Here is a 25800-nt window from a genome sequence, read left to right on the forward strand (position 1 = left end):
GTAAAAATTTAATATTCATGTCTCAAGCTTAGCATTAATAACCATCGATTTGGCAACAAAGACGTTAATTCGATGAAAGTTTATGCCAGTACAATGAAAACAAATATATTTTAATGATAGTAATTTTTAGTTACTTGTAATGATGGCCTGCAAGAAGACATCTTACTTCAGAGTTTTAATGTGACTCCTACTCTTGCCTCTTGGCTATCTGGAATACGGTCTCTGTAAATTTTTCAGGTGATCTAATGATGATGATGATATTGACATATTATGTTTGTAAGCACTTTGTCTTTTGACATGCTTTTATATGCGTCATCTCAGTATCTTTATCACCACCTCCAAGTTTTTCACAACAGGAAAACACAATAGAAGACATAAACAGGGCCGGGTGTGGTGGCTCATGCCTATAAGCTTAGCACTTTGGGAGGTAGAGGCAGATGGATCACATGCGGTCAGGAGTTCAAGACCAGCCTGGCCAACATGACAAAGCCCCATCTCTACTAAAACTATGTAATCCCAGCTACTCGGGAGGCTGAGGCATGATAATCGCTTGAACCCGAGAGGCGGGGGTTGCAGTGAGCCAAGATCGTGCCACCACACTCCAGCCTGTGCGATAGAGTGAGACTCCGTCTCAAATAAATAAATAAACAAAGAAAAAAAAAAAGAAAAAGAAAACATAAACAGGAATATTTCCAACTATCTGCCTGCAAAAGCCTTGAAGTCTAATTTGTGGACAAAACTTTTTCACTTATAGTTAAATTATAAGGTAGAGTCAAGTGAGACAGTTAGACACATCCCCAAGGAAAGAGCTTCATTAAAGTCTTTGGAATTTAAACTTGGATATGACACAAACTAGAGATCTACAAGTCAGATTGGAACCATGCATATATTTTAGTTTCCTAGCAAGGCAGTTGGAAAGCATTGAATTTGATGCCTTTTGGTAGCCACGTTGCCACAATATTCTCCAATCTCTTTTCTCATTTGTGATGACTTCCCTAGCCCTGAAAGAAGGGTCACATTTTTCCCTCACTCCATAGGGCCCTGGTCCTATCAAATTTTATGTGAATAGGGCTTCCAGGAGCCTCAAGGTGTAGGACTTTCCAAAGACAGTGGAGTTTCCTACTGCTGGTGTGGAGGATAGAGAGACCTAGTCTCATTGGGTGCAAACAGGGAAGATTTTAGGGAAGAGATGACTTCTGAGGTGGACCTTCAAGCATGAACTTTATACTAATAGTTTTGCATGGATAGGCTGACATACAGGAAACGACTGGAAAACTGGGGACCTGATTTGTTTAAAACTGAAGTAAATCAGGGCTTTAGTTACACTACTTACTTGCCAATCCAGTTGTTCAAGTCAGAAGCCTATGAATCATCTTAATAAACCTCTTCTCTCCTCCATTCTCTAACAGAGAAGTTAGAGAATGGCTTCCCTTTCTAAATATTTTCCCAGCCTCTATTCTCCATCCTTCCAGACCTCATCATAGTCCAGATCCTAATCATTACATGGCAAGCAATCTGTCTCTCTGACTGTGAGAATCCCTGCCTAAGTGCCTCCATATGTCTCTGTAGCCTACACAATAAAGAGAAACTTCCCTAGCATGACATAAACAGTCTAGTATAGCTCGGCTCCTCCATCTCTCTTCATCATTATTTCTTGGTCTGCTCATTTACTATCAAACTATTTATAGTTCCCTGAATACATCATTTTATTTTATATCCTGTATCTTTAACATATTTCAGAAAAATAAATTCCATCTACTTTTTTTTATTTTATTTTTTGTCATGCATCACCCACTCAATTTTCTGGTTGAACAATAAAATATAAAAAGCTAAATAATCCTAGCACTTTGGGAGGCAAAGGCAGGTGGATCACGAGGTCAGGAATTCAAGACCAGCCTGGCCAAGATGGTGAAACCCCGTCTCTACTAAAAATACAAAATAATCAACCGGGCATGGTGGCAGGCACCTGTAATCCCAGCTACTAGGGAGGCTGAGGCACACATTTGCTTGAACCCGGGAGGCAGAGGTTGCAGTGAGCCGAGATCTGAGATAGCGCCACTGCACTCCAGCCTATGCAACAGAGCGAGACTCCATCTAAACAAAAACAAAAAAAGAAAAAAGAAAAAGAAAAGCTAAATAGTGATTAAACTGGACAAACTGACATTCTACTCAAGGAAATAAAGCTGTGCAGGATGAAAATGAGTTTTATTAAAGTCCAAATATTTATTATATGCCATATTAAACAGTAAATAGTCAAAGCATTTATTTCTTTTTAGTAACAATTAATGTTCCTGGTAGATTTTCCCATCCTCTGAAATATTTGTATGGCACGTTTTGGTTTGATTTCCTTCATTCATAATTTTAGTTTCCTTCATACTTCTTGATCTTCAAGTATCAAATAATGTTTTGAAGTACAATTAGAAGTATGCAGAATTATTTCATATCTGAGTTAATCTTTCCAACAAATAAATGAAACATCTTATTTTTGTAGAGTTTATTCTACAAAAATATTCTGAGGAAGGCCTCAAAAATCTAATTATCTCATTGTAAAACTCCACATTAACAGTACTACAGATAACTGTTTTAGTTAAAATAGACATATAAATCATTGTTCTTGTAACTTTTGTTTAACCTATTAAAACGGAAGATGATGGGCTGGGAGCGGTGGCTCATGCCTGTAATCCCTGCACTTTGGGAAGCAGAGGTGGGCGGATCACCTGAGGCCAGGAGTTCGAGACCAGCCTGATCAACATGGTGAAACTCCATCTCTATATACATACATACATACGTGCATACATACATACATACATACAGTGGAAGATGAATGTGGAAGGATAAGGTACAGTTTGTTTACTTGTGCACAAGCATTGCAACATCAAGTTGTTTGTCTCCTAGTGGCAGTTAATAGTATATGGTTCTTCATTCCTTTTTCATTCAAACAGCTTTCATTGAGTGCCTACAAATGTGTGATAAGAAGAGCTCAGCTTAGTGTTTAGAGACTTTCTCACGTTATGCAGGCTTCTTACAAGGTTTGGTGGACCTTGAAATCCATTTGCATTTTTTGGAGGGGTGGGGATGGACAGCTCTGGCAGAATTTTTATGCCATAAAAATGGCTGAAGTAAATGTTATCTGTAATTTTTCTCAAGAAATGATTGCTTGATCAAACATACAATAAATAGATTTTTTTACAAAGCTTAAAAGAATCTATTCCCAGCCCACCCCTCTGTCTTAGCTCGGGAAATAAACAAAAATTAAAATTACCTGTAAACCTCAGGTGTGGGTTTGAAGTATTAAAAAAAATGGAAAAATTGAGCTGAAACTTTCTTGCATAGAGAGATATCAGAGGTACGTCTTTCTAATCAAGGACAGACTCTCCATCACTTATCCTGATTTACACTTTTAGTTCTTCTGGGTTTGGGTTTGATTGGGCTGGACAGCTAGTTAGCTGTTGCCTGCCTGAGGCTACTTGCCCTAATGCAGAGAAATTCCTGGTTCTCAGAGTCACAGGCAGAAAAACTTGAAATTATTTATTACTACACCTCATCTCTTTCAATTAAAAATATTAAGACAAATTATAATAAGATATGTCTATTCAATAAGATTAGTAAAAGACACTGAAAAACTTAACAGTCAACATCTTACATGTTACAAATGTCATCATAAGGCTATTTCTTGTGTCTTCCCTACATAAAAGGTTAAACTTTATTATTAAAATGTAGGTTTTTTTGAAGACACTTTATTGGGGTAGCTAGAGTAACTCTGTGAGAGACAGAACTCTGTTTGTCTGATTTAATAAAAAGACAGAGCCTATGCAATCTACAAGTGTTTCTCCAGGAATGATTTATGGACATCAGCACGTACATACCGTATGTATTTTATATATTATATATATTATGTTATATATATATTATATATGTAATATAATATATATATATAAAATTTAAGGTTCTTGTTAAAAAGGCAGATGGTAAAATAGCTAAGTAAATTTCAAATGTCTCTTCACAAAAACTGATAAATAAGTGAAGTAATGGATATGTTAATTAGCTTCATTTAATTATGCCACATCATATACATATGTCAAAACATCAGAGTGTACCCCATAAATGTATATAATTATGATTTGTTAATCAAAAAATGCATATGGTCGAGTACTGGCTGAGATCTACTAAATCCAAATCTCTGGGTTGGAGGCTTGGTGTCTGCATTTTAACTTGTCCAAATGAGCCTTACAATGAAATCTGAGACATAGTTAGGTGGATGGTGAGAAGTACCCTCAGTGATGGCTGTCATATATGGATAATCCTTTCCTAAGATAAATCAGAGTGATGGGGGCCAAAGTGCAAATGTCTTCACTTATCTGAAAGGGAATCTGCATGTGGATGGCAAAACCAACATCCTATACTATACTCCCAATCCCATAAGCACTCCAGCCACACATGCCAATTGTAGCAGCTAGTCTTCACCAGGAATCTTCTTATACCACAACTGTGCCCCTCTTGCAAAGCAGGGTACCTTTTCTCTCCTTTGCCTGATCCACTGCTCTTACAATTTGATGATAACCACCATCAGTTTTGCACTGATCACTCCTAGGCACCTAAACCATTGTTCTATGTATTGTAGTGCAATCCCAGAGATAGGTGTTGTTTTCATGCTCATTTTACAGATAAGAAGACTGAGGCTCAGATAAGCTATGGAATCATGGACAAACATTGAGGAAATAGCAGGAAAAAAGATTCAAACTCAGGTCTTTCTGCAGCCACTCTGCTGGGCTGCTGTCATGCAAACATTTACTGCCTGACTTTCTGGACAAGAGTGTGGAGAGCTTTGATTTCTAAAACTGCAGCACAGCTAATAATGAAAAAAGAGATGGCCTAGTTCTTTATTTCCTTATCCCCTACAAGCTTTTATACATGATTTTAATATCAAAGGGAAGATATTAAATCTCACTCGTGAATTATGATGAACACTAATTCACAGACTAAAAAAATTCTGCATAAATGTGTAGATGTGTATTGTATGCATTTTGTGAAAAAATATATTAAAAAGATAAATGGGAGAGGTGCCAGTACATTGTTAAAGCCTAAAATCAACAACATTGTATCTCTTCTCTTCCTAATTAATTTATTCCTGGATCTTGACATAATAAAACTATGTCTTTTATCTCCCTGCTCCCTCATTTAGAATCTTATTTAAAGTTAACTTATAAGAAAGCAAAACTTAAGAACTCAACATCTTTAAAAGTCTTACAGATCTCAAAACTGAATTCAAAATTTTAATGTTAATTGATTCTAATATCCGCCATTATCAGAAATCTGAATGCATTCTTGTTGCTTCCAAATTTAGAGGTCTAACAACTATTTGTACTTTTAAAAACTTCAATAAATAGGAGTCAAGGATTTAATGTGCCAGATGAGAAATTTTGCAAATCATTATAATTACTGGAATTCCTAAAATCTGTTTGCAGATGTGGGGAGTTTCGTCATTACTTCAGGCAACCTGTATTCTCACTGTGGTTGTAGCATCAATTAACTCTGCTTTCATTAGCTTTCTCATTTTTAAAATCAGGGATTGATTTTAAAATCAGATGATCTCTAACTGATGATCTCTTATAGCTCAAATACCTTTTACTTCTTTGAAAAATGTAGTACTTATTGTGATACCATGCAGTAGTCCTGAAAATGCTTCAAAAGGATTCCAAGTACTTTATGTTACTGTAAACTGCACCATGAATGTGGAAAGTTGAGCACAAATGGCCAAATAATAGTGGAGAAAATAATAGTGAATGTCAACCTTTTGTAGCTCCTTTTCTATCGTAGATTTAATGGAATGTGAGTCTGCAGACTTCACAGAGAACTATTTTTGAACAGAAATATGTATTTGAACCCCTTCCCCTTTCTTAGATATTTGAATGACATTATAGTTGTATCTAAACTACACCGTGGTCTAATTTAACACCTGGAATGGCATACCACTTTCCCTATAGTGTACAATATTTGGTATACCACCACCCTGAAATATTGGCTCATAAACTACTGAAAAAATATTGTTAATCGTAGAAAAGTAGAATATCACCCAATAAACCAGTGTATATACAGCCCAGAGACTCCTTTGGAAAATAATAAAATGGATAAATAATTGGGATTTTAGCAGCAATTTGAATAACTTATTTACTCACTTACTCAACAAATATTTTCTCATCAGACATTCATTCCCTGTCCATGTTGAGTTTGTGGAGCACTTGTGTGAGGGAATATATTGAACAAATAAGTTTAAGTATGATGACTTTTACAAAAGTAGAAGTAGAGGGTGCTGTGAGAACCTAAAAGGAGTTAATTCATCTAATTTGAATGGATGGCTGAATCAGTGGAGGATGTCTGGGAAAACTTTCCCAATTAAGGGATTTTTAGCAGAGATCTGAAAAAATAAGCAGATAATATGCCAAGCAAGATCTGGGAAAACCTTTTTAGGCAGAGAGAATAACTTATTTGACGTTTTTAAAGCAGGAGAGAGTATTCTTTTTGATAAATTAAAAGAGAACTAGTAGAGTTATAGTGCAAATCCAAGAAGGAAAATGGGGCACGGAGTAGACTAGAATTCTGATGGGTATGAAAGTCAATGTAAGAATGATGGACTTATTCAGGGGCACTCAGAAGTTTTAAGAAGGGGTGGGGCAAAAAACCCAGAATATAATCAGAGTTAGTTTTTCTAAATAGTATTTATTTTGAAATAGTTGAATACTCACAAGAATTTGCAAAGAGTAGTTTAGAGAAGGTTTGTGTACCTTTCACCCAGTTTTCCTCAATGATAAGACGGTGCATCAGCATAGTATGGTGTCAAAATCAGGAAATTGATGTTGATTAACCATGGTTAATAACAATGTGATTAACCGTGCTGTAGATGTTATTTGAATTTTTCAGTTTTTACATGCAAAATTTGTTTTGTTTTGGTTTTGGTATTCAAAAGTTCGCTAGAATGTTTTTAAAGGAGTGAAAAGGATTAAATATGGATATTGGGGGAGCAGTTTGTAAAATAAAAAGCAAAGTTGAGTTGATAGATGAAGGTATCCTAACCTAGAAGTGGCATGGACTCAAGAAATATTTAGGAGGTAGCCATGGACACAGGAAGGGGAACATCACACTCTGGGGACTGTTGTGGGGGAAGGGGGGAGGGGGGAGGGATAGCATTAGGAGATATACCTAATGCTAAATGACGAGTTAATGGGTGCAGCACACCAGCATGACACATGTATACATATGTAACTAACCTGCACATTGTGCACATGTACCCTAAAACTTAAAGTATAATAATAATAAAATAAAAAAAATGATCAGTGAGTCTTGGTGAGTGGATATGGGGTGTGAGAGAGGGGATAAGTTCGAAGGTGACCTATGGATTTCTATTTTGAGCAATTGGGTAGGTGGTGATGTTCCCAGTTGAGGTTAAAAGTCCTGGAGGAGAAGCAGATTTGCTGGGAAAGGAAGATGCATTCAGTTGGGACTTCGGTGAGCTTCAGGTACCTATGTAGGCAAGAATGCTTTCTGCCTGGAGCTCTGGAAAAAGCTAGGGTGTGAGATATAGATTTAGTCATCCTCAGCTTATAGATAGTAATTTCAGCGAAATTATCTCAGGAGAATATGTTAAATGAAAAGATTTTAAAAAGTTTAGAATAGAGCCCTGGGATCTAAAAATATTAAGTGGTTTGGGAAGAAGAATGAGCTGGTAAAGAGACTGAGAGGAAATAATGAAGAACATAGAGTTTTTAGTGTGTGTGTGGGAGGGGGGCGGGGGGAGAGAGAGAGAAGAGGAAGGGAGATGAAAATACAGGAGATATATGGAAAAATAGCAAAATTATGTCATATAAGCAAAGTCCTAGTAAGCTCTATCTCTTTTCTTTGATTTCTTCTGAAGTTATAATTGGAAGGTTTCTTGTAGTTCTCTATGTGTGCCATTCTTTTGAAGTTTAGTATTTATAATGTCGCCAACTCAATTTCATGATAAAGTGTGATGTCTTCTGCAACATTATTTACATCTTTCAAAATGTTATTTTGGATTGAGAATACTTGAATATGCCACATTTTAGTAATTATTAATTAATTGTTTCTTTTTTTTTGAGACGGATTTCTCTGTTGCCCACGCTGGAGTGCAGTGGCGCCATCTTGCCTCCTGGGTTCATGCCATTCTCCTGCCTCAGCCTACCCAGTAGCTGGGACTACAGGCGCCCGCCACCATGCCTGGCTAATTTTTTTGTGTTTTTGGTAGAGACGGGGTTTCACCGTGTTAACCAGAATGGTCTTGATCTCCTGACCTCCTGATCCGCCTGCCTCGGCCTCCCAAAGTGCTGGGATTACAGGCGTGAGTACCGCACCCGGCCTAATTAATTATTTCTTAAAGTGAATAGGAACTTAAAAACTATGGCCGTGGGGGCAGGGTGGGGGGCAGGGAGGAGTGGTAAATTGTGCAGAAACGTTTAGGTTTAACAAGATCCAAAATCCTGTAATTAAGGTATATTTTAATTACATATATTTAAGCTATAAATATATGACAGTAAATATACCAACAACTGGATCATACCCCAAGCTAACTGAAATCAAAGTTTCAGGATAAGTCCTGGGCATCTGTATTTTTAAAAATCTCCAATTGACTCTGATGCCTAGTGTGGATTGAGAATGATTGGAACACTTAGTACTATGAGAATCTTAGGGGTGGTGAGAAGGTTCTATACAGCAACTTGAATGCTATGACTCTGTAGAAACCTCACTGATACCAGTATAATGAAAGTCATGTCAAATAAATTTTCTTGAAAGAAAAGAGGTAGCCAGTAAAGAAATAAAGGACAAGAAATTTTGAGTTGACCTACTGAATTTGGAAGTAATCATCACAAATCCCATTGAAAGTTGGAGTGAATGAGGCAGGGGGTTGATTTACGGTAGATTTATGCTATGACGAGCTGAGTGACAAGTTCAGAATGACAAGCTGAAATGTCTCAGAATCATTTCATATTAGATGGGAAGAAAAGGTCACACCAGTTTGAGTAAGTGATAACTGAAGCCTGAAATAAAGCTTTGGTTAAAGGAATGATGCAAGAGAAGGTTGATGATTAAATGTTGTGGGAAGAAACACATGAATTTTGCTAGACATGTGACTGGGGATAATAATAAGCTGAAAGTTACTTTGGGGACTTTCACTAGGAGGGGAGGTTATGTATTGGTGGTTCCAAAAGTAGCTTATTAATTAGAAGTATTTACTTTTTACTTGTAGATTTACTCCTCATTATGTTTTCAAAAGAATGTAAGGTATCTAAGAAGGTCATTTTTAGTGGTTAAAATTATCTATGAACATAAGGAATAAATAATAAACATGAGGATAACTGAGTCAAAAGTGAAATGAGGTAGTCATTTTATTAACTATAAACAGGAGCTTTGCTTTACTGGTATTTAGAATTTCAAAACACTGTATTCAGCACAGAAACCTTAATGATCCTCATGGTGCAGTCATTCTTCTGAATGGTGTCATTTATAATGCAATTCTAAACTTAGGAAATAAATGGAGGGGAGGGTAATGAGGCTTATATGATGCCAAATGAGTCAACATATGATTAATATTGAGTCTCTTTCACGTTCACTATTGCCTGCCTTTCTGCAAAGTGGTTTTTTGTCTGCACTAACTTGGTATGAGAATCAAATCTATTCAATAAATTTCTTGCATGGATTATCCTGTTAGGTTGCTAACAAGTATATTTCCTCAATATTAGTGAATTCTTCTTACTACAAATATGGCAGTCTAATTTTGATTTAGTTCAGGTTGATTGCTATTTTGCTTTGATAAATGAGGAGGAATCCAGTCTTTTTGGACATTGAGTTTTGTTTTTTTTTTTTTTTTTTTTTTTTTTGAGACAGAGTCTTACTCTGTCACCAGGCTGGAGTACAGTGGCATGATCTCGGCTCACTGCAACCTCTGCCTCCCAGGTTCAAACGATTCCCCTGCCTCAGCCTCCCGAGTAGCTGGGATTACAGGCATGCGCCACCATGCCCGGCTAATTTTTTACATTTTTAGTAGAGACGGGGTTTCACCATGTTGGCCAGGATGGTCTTGATCTCCTGACCCCGTTGATCAGTGCTCCTCAGCCTCCAAAGTGCTGGGATTACAGGCATGAGCCACTCCGCCCGGCCACATTTTTTGAACAGGTGATGAGACCTACTCTCCGTGTAAACTTACCACAGTAAGCGTTGTAGACTTTAGTATTTATCTACTTAGTGTGGTATGTGTGTGTTTGTGTATAGTTTTTTAAATGAAGAGCATAGCAGTAAGTCTTTCTAGCTTTCTTTCTGGGTAAGTCTGCTTTCTAGCAAGTTTCAGTTGCTGTGATACCCTTATGCTTAAAGTAATCTGAGAAATAAGACCATGATAAACGCATTTTTAAATGATTTTTAAAAACTAGCACAGTGGAGAGCAGTGTTTATTATTGCTAGACTGAAGCACAATATTCATTTCTAACAAATCATTGGATGACCTCACAGATAGAATAGCCAATGATTTAAAAGTAATCATAGTAGAAAATATGGTTCTGGCAGGAATCCAAAGGATGAGCCATTCCTTCTCCTTGAAATGCTTCCCTCTCACCACCACCCTGATGTCCACTGCCCTGGTTGTCTTTTTGTGTCTCTGCTATTTCTCAGTCTCCTTTGTGGGACCTCTCTCTTGACCCCACCTCTAGGTTTATTTGGTCTTTAAGAACCAGTTACTTGTCTAAGTCTAAACAACCAATGTCTATTCAGTTGCTCAAGCTGGAAACCTGGGGTTGTTTCCTTTTCCCCATCCTTACATTCATTCTACCAGTAAGTCCTATAGCGCCCACTTGCAAAATATACTTTCAAGTTAGTCTCACTTCTATTCCTCTCTGCTGTCACCATCCTAATCTAGGCCATCCTTATGTTTTACTTGAAAATAGTGCAATAGCATCCTTTCTGAGTTTTCCTTCTCCTCTCCTTCCACCTGGAATTGCTCCAGTTTATTCACTGAAATTCTAGAGATGTTTTTTACAATATAGATTATACCATGTCACTCATTATCTTTGCTTTACCCCTTTAACAGCTTTTCATTTCACTAAGAATTCAATTCTTTCTCACCATCTGCAAGACCATGTCTAAAACAGACTCTGCTTATGTCTCGAAATTGACCTGTAGCTATTCTTTCTCTTGATCTAAAGGATCTGGCTCACCAGCTTCCTTCTCCAAACTAGAGCCAGAAAATATTCTGTTCCTTCTGCTTTGAGCACCTTTCCTTTAGATTTCCTATGGGGTGGCTCACTGATCCTTGAGTCTCAGCCTAAATGCTGCATTGTCAAACAGGTCTTCATTTTACATGCTAAGTAGATCTTCCCCTTTATTCTGTATTCAGCACCCTTTCTGTGACCTTTAAAACACTTTCTCTGTCTTAACGATATATTTGTTTGTTTACCTCTGTATTAACAAGAGGTACTACTAAAATTTTAGCTGAGAACACAGATACTGTTTATTTCACTTACCCCCTTACCCCTAATCCCTAGCACAATGTCATATATGAGGTACTCAAAAAATGCTTGTTGAATGAATAAATGAATCAACAGTGTAAGGATCAGGCTGAGCAGACTACTGTGTAAAGGCAAACTGACACACCTGGACCAGCGTGGTTGTTAAGAGGGGGTCTGGGGTGGAAGTTAAATGTTGCATAACCATTATTTTAACTAACATGACTGATTTGTTTCTAAGTTTCCATTGGGAGGATTAGGTGAGATAACATGTGCAAAAATGCCTAAAATGAAAATATCGTATACTCAAAAGGCTGTCTTCTGTGTAGCTCTCCTCCTTGTACTAGACTGTGTGGCCAAGAAAAGTGAGTGTCCTCATAGACTACCTCCCCTTTTCATATCCCTCTCTCCATTCTCTTTGTTTATTCTGGGAAATGACCAAGAACCCTAGAGACTGTGGCAGGGCTGTGTGCAGAGTGTGTGTCCAGCAATTCTTGCACCTCTAATAGCATATTCCTACCTGTGGGTAGGTCATAACCCAACCACTGCATGAAAGAGTCCCCTGAAGTCCTGAGAACTGCTGCGCCAGAAACATTCTGGAATTGCTGCCTTCTGTCTGCCCTCTGAATTCTTTTGTTCCATCCAGCTGCCTCAGGTTGAAGAGCCTATATCTTGGGCTTAGTTTTCATTTGTATGCTTGAACTCCCTTTGGATTAATTCTTTAAACTGTTTCTCTCTAGACCACAGTTTTGCTCAGTGTCCCACAACCTCGGGGACCAACACTCATCCCTCTATACCCTGTCCCTGATTTCTGGAATCTCAGCCTGAAAAAGACCTCAGCATCCACCTTTAACTAGCTGGAGGCCTTCACACAGAGTTACATCATGTGCCTGCCTAGTTAACTGCAGTTCAAGCATACACTGTGCTCTGAATCCCATGTCTTTTGCATTTACTTTTTGTACTCAACCTCCTTGGCTTCACGGCCTGCCTAAACTTCTTTATTGCTTCTCTGTTTCTTTTTGTCCTCCTGTCAGTGATTGTTGTGACCTTATTTTCACAAAGGATACATTTTTAGGGGTGTTTTTCCAGATTGTGGATAACACTTACTTCCATAAATACTATACTTATGTCAGTAGCAACTCTAGGTCACTCTTTAAATCACTTTGTGGATAATTATAGTTGTGTTTTAAAACCGTCAATCACTATTGCCTGCATTTACCTGCAGTGGCTGATTTTGAAGCTAGAATTGTTGTGTTGGAAATATAATAAATATTAACTATTTACTACTGAAAGGGACAAAGTTTTAAAGGACATATGGTACATGATAAATAGTGGATTCAAGTTATAAAATCACATTGATTTATCTTCTTTTTTCTCAACCTTCCTTTCTTCCTACCCCCTCTGTCTCATGCCGTGAAAATCTTAAGGTAGCTAACTCAGATTATAGTGTATGAACCCTTATACTAACATGCTTTAAGGTTACAAATTGTACATATTACATTTCTACTGTAAAGTACTTATATGGAAAGCATTAATGTTTGGTATCTTATATTCAGACTTCTCTGAAATATTATAATTTCTCTGAAATATTATAGGTCATTAGTTACATTAATTACGAAATCTGCCATTTTGCAGTTTTTTGGAATTTTATATTTTATCTTTTAATGGGAGCTTCCTTTTTATTTGAAATTCAAATACAGATCTCCATCCAAATTGATAACAAATTTTGTGTACTTCATTTCTCCTCCATATGTACATATTGAAGTCATCTGAGGCAAGGTATGTAGGAATAAAAGGAGAGAAAAGGAGAAAGAAAGATGTGTGCTCAAGTCAGATAAGAGAAAACAAATGTGAACATGCTGGAATCAAAATAAGTTGAATCCATTGCTGAATTCAAGACGTGTTTCTGTATTGAGATTATCCTTCTGTAAAACCCATAAAGCATGCTCAAACTTCTGTAATGTAGAGAATGAACTAGATCAGAAAGGGGATCTATGAATGAACTATGACAGAATTTTGAACTATAGAATTATTGTGAAATGGCCACAATTCCCTGCTGATAACTATTGCAGTGGATTTGTTGACTCTTTATTCAGGTGAGTTTAAACGTTAAAATGGCCAAAGATATGAGAAAGAGACAGAAAAAGAGAGAAGAAACAGTGAGAAAAAGAGAGATAGGAAGATCCAGACAGAGAGAGACACAGACATAGAGAGAGAGAGAGAGACAGAGATTATGAATGAATGAATATGAATGTGTTTCAAATAAAAGAAGGTTTAAAAAGTGTTTTATTGCAGGCTGATAGTCAGTGGACCTGAGTCCTACTTTAATCTCTCATATGAACTTGGCAGGCATCTAACCTCTTTATACTTTTGTTTCCTTACCTGTCAAATAAGGACAAATAAGGTTCTACCTACTGCATAGGTCTGTGGCAATAATACAATGAAACGTTAGATATGGAAATGTTTTGAAAACATGAAATGCTCTATGTAGATAAAAGTCATATTATCCAAGCATAACATTCTTCTAAAATTTTTTAATTGACAGATAACATCATATGCTTTTATCATGTACAATATGATGTTTTGAAATATATATGCATTTACAATGGTTAAATCTACCTAATTAACAAGTGCATTACTTTACATAGTTATCATTTTTATGGTGAGAATACAACATCCATTGTCCTTACATGTTTCAAGAATACAATATGACATTAACTACAGTTGCCTTGCTGTACAGTAGGTCTCTTGAAATTTATTCTCCCTATTAAACTGTAATTATGTAAACTGTGACCAACATCTCCTAACACCTTTTCCCCCCTAACTATCCCAGCCTTTGGTAACAACCCTCCTCCTCCCTAGTTCTATGAGATCAACTTTTTAAGATTCCACATATGAGTGAGATCGTGTGGTATTCATCTTTTTGTGCTTGGCTTGTTTCACTTAATATAATATCCTCTAGGTTCAACCATGTTGTTGTAAATGGCAGAAATTAATTATTTTTTATGGTTGAGTAATATTCCATTGTGTCTGTATAACACATTTTCTTTATTCATTCATGCATTGATGGACACTTAGGTTGATTCCATAGCTTGGCTATTGCAAATAGTGCTGCAATAAACATGAGGTGCAGATATGTTTTCAAAATACTAATTTAGTTTACTTTGGGTATATACCCAGTAGTGGGATAACATGGTAGTTCTATTTTTAATTTTTTGAGGAATCTTCATACTATTTTCCGTAATGGCTATAGTAATTTATATTCTCACCAACAGTGTGTAAGGATTCCCTTTTCTCCATACCATGTCAACACTTGTTATCTTTTGTCTTTTTGATAATAGCCATTCTAACAGGTGTAAGGTTAGATCTCATGGTTTTGATTTGCATTTTCCTGAAGATGCGTGACACTGAGCATTTTTTATGTACTCATTGGCCATGTTTATTTTATTTTGTTGAGAAGTGTTTATTAAATTCTTTTGCCCATTTCTAAATTGGGTTATTTGGGTTTTTTTTGCTACTGAGTTATTTGAGTTTCTTATTTATTTTGGGTATTAAACCCTGGTCATGTGTATAGGAGGCAAATATTTCTTCCATTCTATAGGTTGTGTCTTCATTCTTTTGATTGTTTCCTTAACTGTAAAGAGGCTTTTTTTGATGTAATCATATTTGTCTATTTTTGTTTTTGCTGCCTGCGATTTTGAGGTTTTATCCAAAAAATCCTTGCCTGGATCAGTGTCATGAAATATTTCCCCTATGTTTTCCTCTAGTAGCTTCATAGTTTTTGGTCTTGCATTTAAGTCTTTAATCCATTTTGAGTTGATTTTTGTTTATGATGAGAGATAAGGGTCTAATTTCATTCTTCTGCAAAAGTGTAACATTCCTACCTTTGAAAAATTAGAGATAAATGAGTGGAACATTTGCTTTTGGATTTTTATAAGTGGAATAATTTATTCAAATTGTCAGTGAAATTAAATATTGTGGGCTTAGAAGTCAAACAGATTTATCTTTAAATCCTGACTCTACCTGTCACTTACTATTGTGCAACATTGGACAATTTATGTAATTCTCTGAGTTCTACTATGGCAAACTTAGAGAGTCAAAAATGAATCTTAAATGAGGGAAGGCTCTTTGTACATTGTGGAACACAGAATAACTACTTAATAATTATGAATAGTGGTAATAATAAATATTAATAGTAGTAATACTACTACTATAATAATGACTAATGTTATTGTCAGTATTGGGTTAATTTTTCACTTTGGTTAAGAAGCTTGGTAACCACAGAGCTTTTATGACTAGGAGCATGATTGTTTGTTTTAAACTTTTAGTTATTTTCAAAATTAATATAAACACCATCTCACTTAAGGCAGACTGTAAATGTCTAATGTATTAAAGCCTTACGCAAAACAATGGTTGGAGGTAAAACTGAACTGAGTATGTCAGAGTAGAAAATCTGCCTTGTGAGACATGTAGGACATTGTAATGAAGCGAAATTTGGCTCCAATTTTCTGGAATTAAGTGAATTGAGTAAAGTAGCCAAGTCACCATTATCAGTCAAGAGAAAGTGTACACTTTGGGATAAGGGGGTGATAGAGAATCATGCTGTATTTCTGCCATTGAATACAAACTGTATTTTTACTAGCTGTATTTTTAGTTTAAAATTTAAAATATAAGGTAATCTGTCTCAGAGATTAAGTCAACAAGCATCTTAACAGAATTATTCTAAAATGATTTCTTTAATGATCAATTTGAAAATCAAGTCATTGCAGTAATTGAAATTACAACATGTAACACATAGTGGTGGTGTGAGTTGCTGGGTTTCAAAGGACTAACAGTAACATCATGGCACTCAATGTATGCCCTGATGATAGGGTTGCCCAGGGTGGTGAGGAACTTGTTTATAGTGTATTCATGCTGACCTTGTTGGAAACAAATGAGTTCTGAGAAATTTCAATTATTTAGTGCCTTGAAAGGTAAGAAAAAAATACTTTAAAACATTGAATTGCAATTAGACATATAAATATCTGACATTTTTTTTCTCAGTTATTACCCTGTTTTGCTGTTTGGGCATCTAAACTTCAGAAATAGAGTTAGTTCTTAATAGATCAGGCCACATAGTTCTTAAATTATGTAATGAAATGCGTACGGTCTTATTTATTCTCAGGCAAGGCACTTTACGTTAGTTCTGTGAAACTTCACGGTTTTAATTCCATGATATGAGAGAGGAAGCTTACAGGAGAAGAGCTTGATCTGGATTCTTTTGGAAACTGCTCTATTTTTAGTTAGGCTCACGCGTAAAATGCATCTCTAGAGAGCTGAATGACTTGAATAGTTGAATGGGAGACTTTTAATATTGACGTTTTGGAAGTGGATGAACACCTAAAAGAACAACAATTTTCTTTTTCCTCAATTAATATAAGCCTGCCCCATCTGTTAACATCTAACTAGTGATTTCAAGAGCTACTTAGCATTGCTCCTAGTCAATGACAATGAGGTGAGAGTATTAGTTAAAATGGAGAATACTAGCTGTATTTTTAGTTTTAGAGAAAACTCCATACTGTTTTCCCTGGCTATACTAATTTACATTCTCACCTACAGTGTAAACTTTGGGAGGCTGAGGCGGGTGGATCACAAGGTCAGGAGATCGAGACCATCCTGGCTAACATGGTGAAACCCCGTTTCTACTAAAAATACGAAAAAACAAACAAACAAACAAAAAAAACAGCCAGGCATGGTGGCAGGTGCCTGCAGCCCCAGCTACTTTGGAGGCTGAGGCAGGAGAATGGCATGAACCCGGGAGGCGGAGCTTGCAGTGAGTCCAGATCACACCACTGCACTCCAGCCTGGGTGACAGAACAAGACTCTGTCTCAAAAAAAAAAAAGAAAAAAATGTAGTCCCTTTTCTCTGCATCCTCTCTAGCATTTTGTTATTTTTTGTCTTTTTGATAATAGTCATTTTAACTGGTTTAAGATGATGGCTCATTATAGTTTTGATTTGCATTTCCCTAATGATTAATGATGTTGAGCATTTTTTCATATACTTGGCCATTTGTATGTCTTCTTTTGAGATATGTTTATTCAGATCACATGCCCATGTTTTAATCAAATTATTATTATTATTATTATTATTTTAAGTTCCTTGTATTTTCTGAACATTTGTCCTTCGCTTGAAGCTTGCAAATATTTACTCCCATTCTTCAGGTTGCTTCTTCACTCTGCTGATCATTTCCTTTGCTATGAAGAAGCTTTTTATTTATTTTTTGACATAGTCCCATTTGTGTATTTTTGTTGTCTATGCTTTTGAGGTCTTATTCTTAAGACCTTTGCCTAGACTCGATGTCCTGAAGCAATTCCCCTCCTTTTTCTTCTAGTAGTTTTATAGTTTGGGGTCTTACATTTAGGTCTTTAATCCATTTTGAGTTGATGTTTTGTATATGGTAAGATTTAGAGATCTAGTTTCTAGAAATCCTGCTGGGTATTTATTCAAAGGAAAGAAAATCAGTATATCAAAGAGATATCTGTACTCCCATATTTATTGCAGCACTAGTCACAATAGCCAAGATACGGAATCAATCTAAATGTCCATCAACAGATGAACAGATAAGGAAATGTGGTACATATACCCAACAGAATACTATTTAGCCATAAAAAAGAATGAAATCCTGTCATTTGTAGCAACATAGATGAACCTGGAGGACATTGTGTTAAGTGAAATCGGTCAGTCACAGAAATATAAATACTGCATGTTCTCACTAATATGTAGATTGAATGCATAAAAGTAAAGAGCAGGATTATAGTTATTAGAGGCTGCAAAGAGTAGGGATGAGGGAAAGATACTGAAGGGTTGGTTAATGGATAAAAAATTATAGCTACATAAGAGGAATAAGTTCCAGTGTTCTATAGCACTGAAGGATGAATATAGTTAACAATAATTTATGGCATATTTTCAAAAAGCTAAAAGAATTTTAAATATTTCCAACACAAAGAAATAACAAATGTTTAACGTGATGGATATGATAATTACCCTGACTTGATCATTACACATTATGTACATGTATGAAAATATCACTCTGTATCCCATAAATATGTACCGTTACTACATGTCAACTAAAAGTAAAAGGAAAAAAAAAACGAAGGAAAATTAAGTTACCATCTGAATGACATTTGGGCAAATAAATATTTTATGGGCTATCTTCCCTTTCCACATCATTGTTTTTAGACTATTAATATTTCCTCATGATTTCATGATTTAATTCAAAGGAACTAAATAATCTATTTTAGAACTGCAGGAAAAAAGTTAGAAGGCAATTGACAATTGGTAAATATTACAATGTATGTAATAAAAGATAAATATTATTGTTCACCAAATAACTATGTCGCTAACATTAATTTTGGCCAGTGATTCCTTTGTTTTGTATCAAATGCTAATTATAGGTCTGAATTTGGCAAACAGTTTTAATTTCCTCATGACTATTTTTGTCATAAGATTGGGATAGCTATAGCAGAGTTGGTTGATGTGAAAATACAGTGTGAACCTTGTTGAAAACTGGTTTGTGGTTTTGAGGGAATATCTAAATTGGCCAATAACTTTGCAGGATTAAATTTTATCTTTATGTGGGCTGGTTGGTAGTTCTTAGCTCTTAGCCAGCTTATATCTGTGGAGTTCATTCAGAAAAGTTGTTAGGCAAGAAATAGGATCCATGGTTTGGGCAGAATCTTAACAATTGTGGCAGCAACAGGACTACCAATTTTCTTTCTTATAGGTATTAATCAAATATTTCACAATAGATGGATGGAGTTGTCCTTTGAAAATAACTCGGAATTAGAAACTTTTAAGAGGCTCTGCAAGGAGTATGTCTGTGTGAAAGAGCTGTGGACTGTCATGTCCTCAATGAAGACTTGGATGTCTGAGTTCCCAAATGGATAGACAATACTGTAGGCCAAGGTGACTGTGAAAATCATTTATTGCTTCCCCTGACATTTGATCCCAAAGTTGACCATTCAGTGCAAAAGAAAATTAGTGAGTGATGTTTTTGGTTAAAAATTTTTATTATAGAAGATTTGTGCTACATTTTCAGATTGCTTTCGCTGATTTCCATTCTTAGCAATAACTTAATAGCTTTGACTATGTCTTTTAAAGTGCCTGGAAGTCTTTTTTAATCAAAGAGATCAGATGTTAATGCTCACATTTCTGGGCAAGGCTGTTCTTGGCATGTTTACTATTGCCTGTGACCTGACTGAGGGCGAAACTGATCTAAAACATGAGTGAAAGTAGAGAGTGGGCACACTTCAGGCCTCTGGAGATAGTTCTTGAAATTGAGATGAGACCTAATTCTCTCCTAATATGTAAGAGTTGCCTGAGAGTAAGTGATTTAAATTCCAAATAAATGTAAGCTTTATGAGACAGTGGTTCCCAAGAGTTTCAATTATAAAACTCCCTTATTAACATGATAATCAATTTTGCTTTCAGTATTCATTAATTGATGAAATCCACAACAGAAAACCTCCACAAATTTAGTAACATTTTAAAGTAAATTTATATCATTTATTCTTTATGTCTGTTATATTGTCTATAAATCATACCCCTTTTTATAGTCCTTCACTGGTGTTTGGAATAAAACTCTTTATTGTAGTCTTCAAGGTCCTATGAAACCCATCCCCTGCCTACCTCAGTGATCTTATTCTCCCATCCCATTCCTTCTTTCTCACTGTATGCTTCAACCATACAGGTCTCCTTTCTGATCCTTGAATATATCAAGGTCATTCCAAACTCTACACCTTTGTCCTTGTTTTTACTTCTACTTAGAATGCTTTTCCTCGTCATCACTGCAATAGAGAAGACAATGGTTGGATCTCATTGTCATATAATCTTTATTTCAGAGAGGCCTTCCTGACCACTTAATCTGAACTAGCCTTCCCTACACCTTGAAATAACCCTACTGTTATTTACATATTGCTAGCCTACTGTATGGTAACCATAATGTAGAATATCCTTTTATTAGCTTAAGAAAAACTAATGGGGGCCTATTTATTAACAGTGAATAGTGCTGGCTCCCTTATTTGAGAAGTAGGTATATGTTTTCCTATACTCTAAAATTGCCCATTTTTACCTAAGATTGTGTAGAAAGATAATTTCTGTCAAGTATTTTTTCTTTACATTCAGAAATTTTCTCTGTAATAAGTAAATGGGGAAATGGATTTTCCAATTTATTTTTCTAAAATTGAACATTTGAAAGAACTATTGCTAATCCTGGCATTAAATTATCTGGGGATATTATACCACCTCATGAAATTTTTAAGGAAAGAAAGGATTATCATGTTGGTTTCAGAATTTATAAATTAAGTTACACTAAATTCTTAGGGTGTTAGAAAAATACTCTATATCCAGTATTGTGCTGGAGCCAACTTGCACTGGCTCATGTAAGATCTGCTTGTTAATTTCCAGGAACTTTGCAAACAGGTTGATTTTGCATGAAAGCTTGAAATTGGCCATGGTGGGAGTATTTACACCATGGAAATTGGCAAACGCTACACACCATGGCTTCCTCCGCTTTTCTCCACCCAAGCCAGACAGCCAGAATACCAGCATATCATTATATATAGCTAATATTTCAGAGGCTGACAATTCAATGATGACAAAGGAATAGGGATAGCTCAAATGAGTCAAGTCGCTTTTATGGGTGTTTAGATTTAAAAAGCCACACATTTTGGGCATGAAAGAAAAAGATTTTTAAAAATAAATAATTTGTACACAAAGGCAGATAGTAAAGATTAAAAAAAATCATGATCTTTGTGGTTGCTTCTTATACCTCCCAAGTCAGGCTGCTGAATTATTTCAAAATATTGTTAAAATATATACTCTGGGTTGAGCAGATGGCTACCTTCTGGTACTTGTGATATCGGCTTTCCCCAACTCCCATACTAATAACACAACTCAACTCACTGATTTTATATGCATTATATCTTAGTTACAGTGAGTGTCTTAGACCATTTCTTTGGGGAAAGAAAGGGATTCAAAGAAGAATTAGATGGAGGCCCTGATTAATTATAGTCTATAATGTTGGAGAAAGTAAAGACTAATGAGAGTTGACCTAAGGTTTTCAGTCCTCAATAGGAAAGGACTTAAAGGAAAATTACATGAAAAGGCAGGGCTTTGAGTATTATTCTCTGACAAGACCATCTTTGGGGTTGTACTACACAGAGGCACAAGGTATCTATCTTGCTGCGAGAGCAGAGACAAATTGTGACAATTCAGAAATAATGCTATTTGGCAATATCTGTATGAAGGTATAAATAGTAAGATGTGGTCCTATATTGATTAGTTTCTTTTGAAGTGACACAACAGCCTATATGGAAGCCTCCAGTTTGTTTCTTCAGAGACCTGAAATTAAATGTCCTCCATCCAAAATAAAATTTGAGAAACAAAAACATCCTGAAATCCCGTCCTTCCCATCCCACACTCTACATTCAGTGATAAACAGTTGGAAAGTTTGGATAATTCTAAGGAATTGTGTTAGGGCTCATTGTTTAATCTTTTGCAATATCTTCATCAAACAGATTAATAATCTTATTTATGAGAGGGGAGAAAGCGACTTCAATCATGTTTGGATGGCGCTAATTATAATTATGTTCTTGGAAGAGGGCTTCATTTTTAATCTTGCTGAATTTCTAGGACTTAAATCTTTATAGGGTACTATTAATACTTCCTAAAGGATAATGTGTCATCTGTATGTAGCTGAACAAGTTGTGGTTCTTGATTAGTTTTTATTGTACAAGAAACTATGAACCCATCAAATGGCCTCACTCTCTGACAAAAAAAAAAAAAAAAGAAAAGAAATTTTTAGGAAAGAGAAAACGTAATGCAATTTGACCAAGATTAATTTTCTGAATGCCAAATAAGCCTAGATTCTTGGAAAATTAATCCCAGAATAGTAGATCTCAGGAGTCAATATGAAGGTGCCACTGCTATTCTTGAGACCAGGAGTGGTGAAGGTAATTATAAGGAGGGGTGAAGATAATACTGCAATTAATACTGCTACAACCTTTATCCCCTACCATTTACTGAAAGTAACATTTTATTCCTCGGTCTTCACATATAAACCTATTCAGCTGATATTTTTAAAATATCATTTTGTAGATGATAACATGGAAATTCAGAAAAGTAAGACAACCCACTCAAAATTTTTGAGGTGTCAGGGCTAGGATTGAAACCCAAATATATGTCTCTTCAAAACCTATGTTTTTGTTTTTGTTTTTTTTTTTTAACATTTTAGTAGGCACATACATTCTTACTCTAAAATCAATTTTGTATCCTGCATTTTCACTTAAAAATAATAGAAGAATTTCCTCCATGCCATTAACACTCCTCATAAACAAAATTTTAATGGCAGCATAACGTTCCACTCTAGGATTATTCTTCATAGTAATGAAATTTCAATTGTTTTTATTTTTATGTGTATCTTTGCACTACTTAAAACTGAATTATTACAAAACATAATGGTGAAGGCTAGGCTGGTTAGACTGAGGTCTGGATGAAAAGCCTCCCAGAAATGGGGAGGGAAGACTAACGCTTTAGTCAGTGTTCACTACCGCAGGTCACTCCCCTGGAAGCCACTTGCTAAGGAAATGAGGACTAAGGTCAGCTTGTATTTAATTTTTTAAAAATTAAGACTTTTAATATGACATTCCAAATGTGCTGCCTCCTCTCTGGATTGCTAAGTTCTTTGCTTTCATCTTATGTGGCTTCTGACTTCTCTGATAGTGCTCTGATTGTCCTCCTCCTGATAAAATATTTCTTAATATTTCTTCCACTTTGATTTTGCATTCTTAGAAAGTCATTTGGAACTTCTTATCCCAGCAAATAAATATCCCAATGTTTTAAGTTCTGCTAAAACTTTCTCGTTAACCACTGAATTCCAATTACAAAATTTATGAATATGTTTCCTACTGACTACCTGTATTGAATCCCATACCTAAAACATGTTGCACTTCAAACATCTTGTTCAATAGAGTTGTATCTGCCTGGTTACCTCAGTCTAAGCTGCTTGAAGAAAGAAATATTCTCTAAAAAGCATGGGACATGTGTAAAGAACTGTTGCATTTCTACCAGTTGTTTCAAATAGCTAAGTAGGAATCCAATTCTTTTTTAATCCAAAATATTACTTGAGCAGTATTATCTCCCACCATTTACTGAAGGTAACATTATATTCACCAGTCTTCACACATAAAGCTGTTAGGTTGGTATTTTTTTAAATACTATTTATAGATGACTGGCATCTTAGTAGACACTGGGCATAAAATAAAGAACAAATTTAAAATGATCCCTGCTTATGTGGAGCATTAAGTCTAGCAGAAGAGGCACATAAAAAATAAGTAAACATTTTTTTCTATAATTGTGTATAGTACAATACATCCCTGATATTCTTTTATAAATATAAACAGTAGTAATAGTATTTGTTCTGGAATGTTGAAATTTTATTCATGTTTATTCTTAAACTAAATTACAAACTTTAAAGTATGTATCCATTGGTTTTCTAGCAATCTTTGTGATTAAGAAAAAGTCTAAAGCAAAATGGACTTGTATGATTTTGTTGGTTGGTTGGTTGGTAGGTCACTTATTCATTAAATGATAGAATACTTAAAAAAAATTCTTAGTGCCTTTTTTTTTTTTTTTTTGTTTTGCTGCCATGGACATACTTTGTTCTCCAGTCTTCCAGAAAATTATTGGATTCCTAACAAGAAAATACATTTGTGGTGTGCCAGAGCACTCTATGGCGCTGCTAAACCTCACAAACTATGAAAGAGCTTGTCAGATGTGCCAGTAAATCTTCCCTCTCTTGCCATAGGTCCAAGGATCTTATAAAGGAAGCTATCCTTGACAATGACTTTATGAAGAACTTGGAGCTGTCGCAGATCCAGGAGATTGTGGATTGTATGTACCCGGTGGAGTATGGCAAGGACAGTTGCATCATCAAAGAAGGAGACGTGGGGTCACTGGTGTATGTCATGGAAGGTACGGTTTGTAACTCCAATCCTCTGACATTCAAATATTCTTTTTTCATCTTATCAGCTGCACACAGATGGCAATGCATTACATGGAAAATTCCATTTTTCCTTCTTTTATTGAGAAATTAGTTTGAGAAGAGTTGAAACACTACTTAGATAAAGTGGTTAACTAATTATGGGAAGTGTTTGTATTTAGAGTATTAATATGAGAATCCAGTATTTTTTCAGACATGGAAAAGTTAAAAATGTGAAAAAAGAAATATAGTTTATTACACTGAATATTCTTCATGCAGTCAGGTCACTGAGCAAACATACAAAGCTTCAGCAGAAGCTCAAGATCACTGGAAGTATTTTTGGCCGATAATTTAAGCATCTTCAACTCTCCCCTTAACTTTTAATATGTGACTAGTTTTCCTGCTATGAAGCTTCTGTAAAAAGAAAATGTTTTTCATGTGTATGACAGAGGCAGACAATAAAGGTTGAATGGAATATTACCTGCCTAATTAATAGGAATGATAGCTTGTTTCATACATCCTGTAAAGACTAATATAGAAAGTGTTTTGAAAAAAACTGAGGCACGCACTGTGTAATATGTTTTATGCCTAGCTAATTTTTCATAATACTTCTTTCTGACCTGAAATCTATACTGACATGCTTTTCTTTTGTGGGAAGAAAGTAGCTTGAGATAATGACTGAATCAGCTTGGAAGAAAGTGAGTGCAGAAATACCTATAATGTAAGATGGTGACACATGAAAACCAGTTTCTTAGGTGGTGATTAATGTTTTATCCAAAACATTTGTGTGATAGTGTCCTATAATTATCAAACTTACAGGTCATTCAGAGAAGTGGTGTATTTGGGCAAGTCACTTAATTTCTCTGTTTCACCTAACCAATTTGTAAAAAAAGAAGATATTCTTTCTTTCTGCCAGTGGTTTTCAACTGATGATGATTCTGTCTCCCAGGGGACATTTGGTGATATCTGGAGACATTTTTGGTTGTCACAAAGGGGGTGATGTTGGGGGGACTGCTGACTTCTAGTGGGTAAAGGCCAGGCATACTGCTCAAAAGGGTAGCTGCCCAGAACAAAGATTTATCTGGCCCAAAATGTCATTAGAGCCAACGTATGAAAAATCCTGCATTCTGCCTTCTTTACACGATTGGTATAAAATGAGATAATTTGTATAATGTTTAATGTAAAGTATAGAACACCACAACATAATAATAAGTATTATTTCTATTAAAATCTTGACAGTATATAAGAAATATTCTTTCTTCATTCAGCATGCA

The 25800-nt window shown here is 35.6% G+C and overlaps 1 protein-coding gene across 5 annotated transcripts in view; it reads left to right on the plus strand.

Annotated features, from left to right (window-relative positions):
- PRKG1 (protein kinase cGMP-dependent 1) overlaps nucleotides 1–25800 on the plus strand; it is a 1307463-nt gene that overhangs the window by 137924 nt on the left and 1143739 nt on the right. For all 5 annotated transcript variants that reach the window (NM_001098512.3, XM_017016413.2, NM_006258.4 and 2 more), the window contains exon 2: nucleotides 24353–24519. In NM_001098512.3, the coding sequence (NP_001091982.1) occupies nucleotides 24353–24519 (167 nt within the window). The remainder of the gene's footprint in view (nucleotides 1–24352; nucleotides 24520–25800) is intronic.

This window comes from Homo sapiens, chromosome 10 (genome assembly GCF_000001405.40).
Source record: "Homo sapiens chromosome 10, GRCh38.p14 Primary Assembly".
NCBI lineage: Eukaryota > Metazoa > Chordata > Mammalia > Primates > Hominidae > Homo > Homo sapiens.